The sequence below is a fragment of the Homo sapiens genome, chromosome 13, assembly GCF_000001405.40.
Source record: "Homo sapiens chromosome 13, GRCh38.p14 Primary Assembly".
Lineage (NCBI taxonomy): Eukaryota > Metazoa > Chordata > Mammalia > Primates > Hominidae > Homo > Homo sapiens.
This window is the reverse complement of record NC_000013.11, coordinates 44814827-44818655: the sequence shown is the minus strand read 5'-3', so window position 1 is coordinate 44818655 and position 3829 is coordinate 44814827.

Sequence of the window (3829 nt, the reverse complement as noted above, 5' to 3'; positions counted from 1 at the left end):
TCTCTCTTCATGTGGCCACAGGATGGCAATGTTTAGGAACGTTACTGTTACCTCCCAGGGGCTGTTTAGATCCTAGATTAGAGCTCAGCAACGCACAGATTAGAGCTCAGCAACGCACACGAGCAACTGGAGATTTGTGTAGGACCAAGAGCTTTTAAATCAGGAGGAAGAGGAGGAAAGGAAGGGTCATTTATTATGAGATTTTTAGAAATCCAAATAAAAATATCGCAAAGCGTACGCTGAAGGGTACTTAAGTAAACGCTGCGTTTACTTAAGGCTGAATCCTGCGTGAAGCCACACTGCCGGGGGTACCTACTGTCCCTCCTGATGCATCTCATGCTGAATTCTGACCATTACAAGTGATTTTTCTCCCCCTGCTGGGAAGCACTTCCACAATTTTGTCACATAATTAGCTGAGCACCTACCATGCTGTAATACCTCGATCTGAATCAGTAGGTTTCCCTAGGTTGGAAGTTCCCTGGGACAGGACCCATGCTTTCTTTATCTGTTTCCTCAATCCTGAAGATGGATTATAAACAACCTGGGCTCACTGCATGTTAAATAAGTAACTCATGGGCTGAAATAGTATCAGAGTTTAGGGACAAAAATTCCTATAGACTAATTTGTCAAAGAATGAGCCCTAAAGGTAACATTTGGCCTGAATTTTGAAGAGGATGCAAAGGAGAGGGGGCTGGGAAGGAGTGGCGCAGATAGCCCCCTCTCCACTCACTTCACTCAGCCCTGAGCATGGGGAAGAAGACATTCTGAGTTTGGAGGAGCGGAGGCAAAGCGGTGCGGAAATCGGAAAGCCGTGTTCAGGGCTGCTTGTGACATGGAGGAAAAAACATGGGATTATGGTAAATATAACTGGGAGAGCAGATCCAGGCATTTAATTTGAGGAGTTTTAAATGATGTTAATGAGGCCTTTTTGCTTGATTCTTTCCATTTTTCCTTCCAGTGATTGCCCAGATTTGCGATTGACACAATGAGGAAGCAGCTGTTTGCTTAAATAACCCAGGAAACTGCTAGAAAGGAATGGGAAACGGTGATCCACAGACCTCAAGCTCCGGAGAGGCAGGAATAGGCACCCTGACCTGCTCTGACTCACAAGGCTCCAGGCAATGGCCCCAGGGGAGAGTCCTGGGTAGTGGCCCCAGGAGGTGGCATTGGATGGTGGCTACGGGTGGTGGCCTCAAGTGATAGATCCCAGATAGTGACCCTCAGGGTGTGGCACCGGATGGTGACCCTGGGTGGCTGGCCCTGCTTCCCTGTCCCTGTGACTCAAACAGAGGCTATTTTCAGCTCCACTACCCCCTCCCCACTTCATGATCTCAGGGTGCCCAGAGGAGGCTGCACAGTTTTGTGACTTCAGAACGTGGCAGGCAGAGGAACTGGAGCTTTCCTGCCAGCAGGAGTTGGATAGATCAGACAGGGCCCCTGGAGAGGTTGCTGATGAGTATGGATGAGTCAAAAAGCCAATGGCACCCTGGGAAGGTGTTGGGCATGGCTTGTACCTCTCACACACAAATTTAAAAAGTTGGTTTGCAGCATAGACATCCCTTAGTGTAGTGCAAGTTCAGCAAATTACTGGGGAGCTAGATGCCTGTTTTATTCCAGTTAATCAGATTATATGAACTGATGAAGTAGGATTTGTTAATAACATTCGCTTACAAGTGGTGGAGAGCTTTATTAATAAGTCATTAGGTTGGCAACTTTAAATACCTGGCATTCAAAAGCAATTCCAAATGCTTTTGTATTGCAAACTTCTGGACTCTAAGAAAATAGCTAACACCTGGTGTGTTGCATTCCTGCAATGCTCAAAGACATTATAGAAAAAAAAAAACCACTTGTGTCCCAAGCTTTCACAAAGTAAGCTATTGCTCTGCTCTGAAAGCTGTTCTTTATTTTGTTCATGGTTTCCCCCAACCTTCCTTCAGAAGAGTTGCAGCCCTGACGGGCTCTTGGTGAAGAGATGCATCATCAACAGACGAGGCTTCTCTGGGCAGTAGATGGATACAGGTGGTCTGTTCTTCCCATTTTGAAGACAGAAAAGCTGGGACACATCATAATTTGTTTGCTTAATATGCCCCCTCACATAGAGAGGAAAGAAATTAAGGAAACGAGAGAGTAGGAATTGGAATCCAGATGCCTCAACTCCCAGACTTCCCCATGACTTCTCCAACGTAATTAACTCAGTGGCTGTCCACTGTCAATGGTGAATTTGGCTTTGGGTGTGGTGATTGAGCATGCAGCCTGTAAAGTTGAAAGGGTTTGGAGTCCTGGGCTTTCCCTGTGTTAAATTTGGCCAAGCTAACTACTCTGTGCCTCAGTTTCCTCATCTAAACCTCTTTGTATTTTAGGATCGAATGAATTATCACACGTAAAGTGTTTGGAACAGGCCTTGCCACATGTGAGGAGCTCAGTAAATGGCAGATATAGTGATACCTGTGGTTCCTGTTACGGCCGTGGTGAAGCGGAGTGGCAGTGGGATGCCTTTACTGACAGTGCCTACCTTCAGTAACTTCAAGATGTGGTGGTGGATGAAGAACACAGACGCATAAAATAATACTTAGGAGGGCACATGCGGATTAGGGCTCACAGAGTGGAAGCCAGGTGTCACCTACGCAAATGCGTTAAAAGGCCAAGTAGGCAGCTCAAGCCGGGAAGTGGAGGATGTAACAAGAAGTGGGGATTCTGAGGCCTCGAGACATGTGGGTCTGTCTACAGGCATTCCAATGCCTCGAGACGTGCAGGTCTGTCTGCAGGCATTCCAATGCATTGTGAAACTTTCTGTGGGCTGTACCGATCACATCTGAGGGCTGAGTCATGCTCAGAAGCTGCTGCAATTACTGAGATTTGAAGTGAAAAGGCAAATAGGATGGGTAAAAAAAATGAGACAATAACTGAGCAAGCCAGACTATGGCCAAAATGAAAGGTGAAGAACTCTTACCCTTTGGACCTGTGGTGCAATACCCAGGCCCCAGGGGGGACACAGGTGGGGAGCCAGAGACTGGGGATCTTATTGCCAGATTAGCTGCCCTACCCAGGAGCACCCCTTCTTCTATTTCCCCTTCCTCCCTCCCTTTTTTCTTGCCCTCTCTTCTTTCATGTCTCTTTATCTTTTCCCCCACATATATCTTCTCCTTTTTTGTCACCCTAGGCCTGGTGTGGTGCCCAGTGGTACCTAGGGACGGTGCGAAGATTCATCGGTGACACTCAACATTGGTTCAGCGATCTTATACCAGACCACGCTTTCCACATCCTCCACAATACTCATATCCGAAAGTGTTAATTCTGGAAAGAATTGTTAGCACAGAAAGGAGAAGGAGTAGCAACATACAAAACCTCAAGGAAGAATTGAAGAAAAATGGATAAAACCAGAGTGCCAACAAAGCTAAACTTCTGGCTCATCCAAGCATGGACCAGAAACTAATTCCTCAGAAACAAAAACTCATTTTCTATGTTATAAGTAATACACAAAAGAAATCATCACTTGTCCTTAGCTATTAATCCATTATATTTGGCAAAGATAACATCAAGCTTATTTCTTTCCCTTAGCTAATCTGCTAAATTTCTCTGAGTAACCCCCAAGACATTATTTGGATGAAGTTACATTATCCATAAACATTACTAAGAACCACACCCTGATCATCTGTCAGCAATATGGATCTTGACTAATTGGAAACTAAGAAGTTAAAGGAAACAAATGAGCATACCAACAGAGGAGAGAAGGAAAACTTTGCTGCAAGAAGAACCATGGAGCACACGGCTCCAAGTGTTAGTGTGAATGAGGCAGGGGAGAATGTGGGGACAGTACGGATAGATGGCT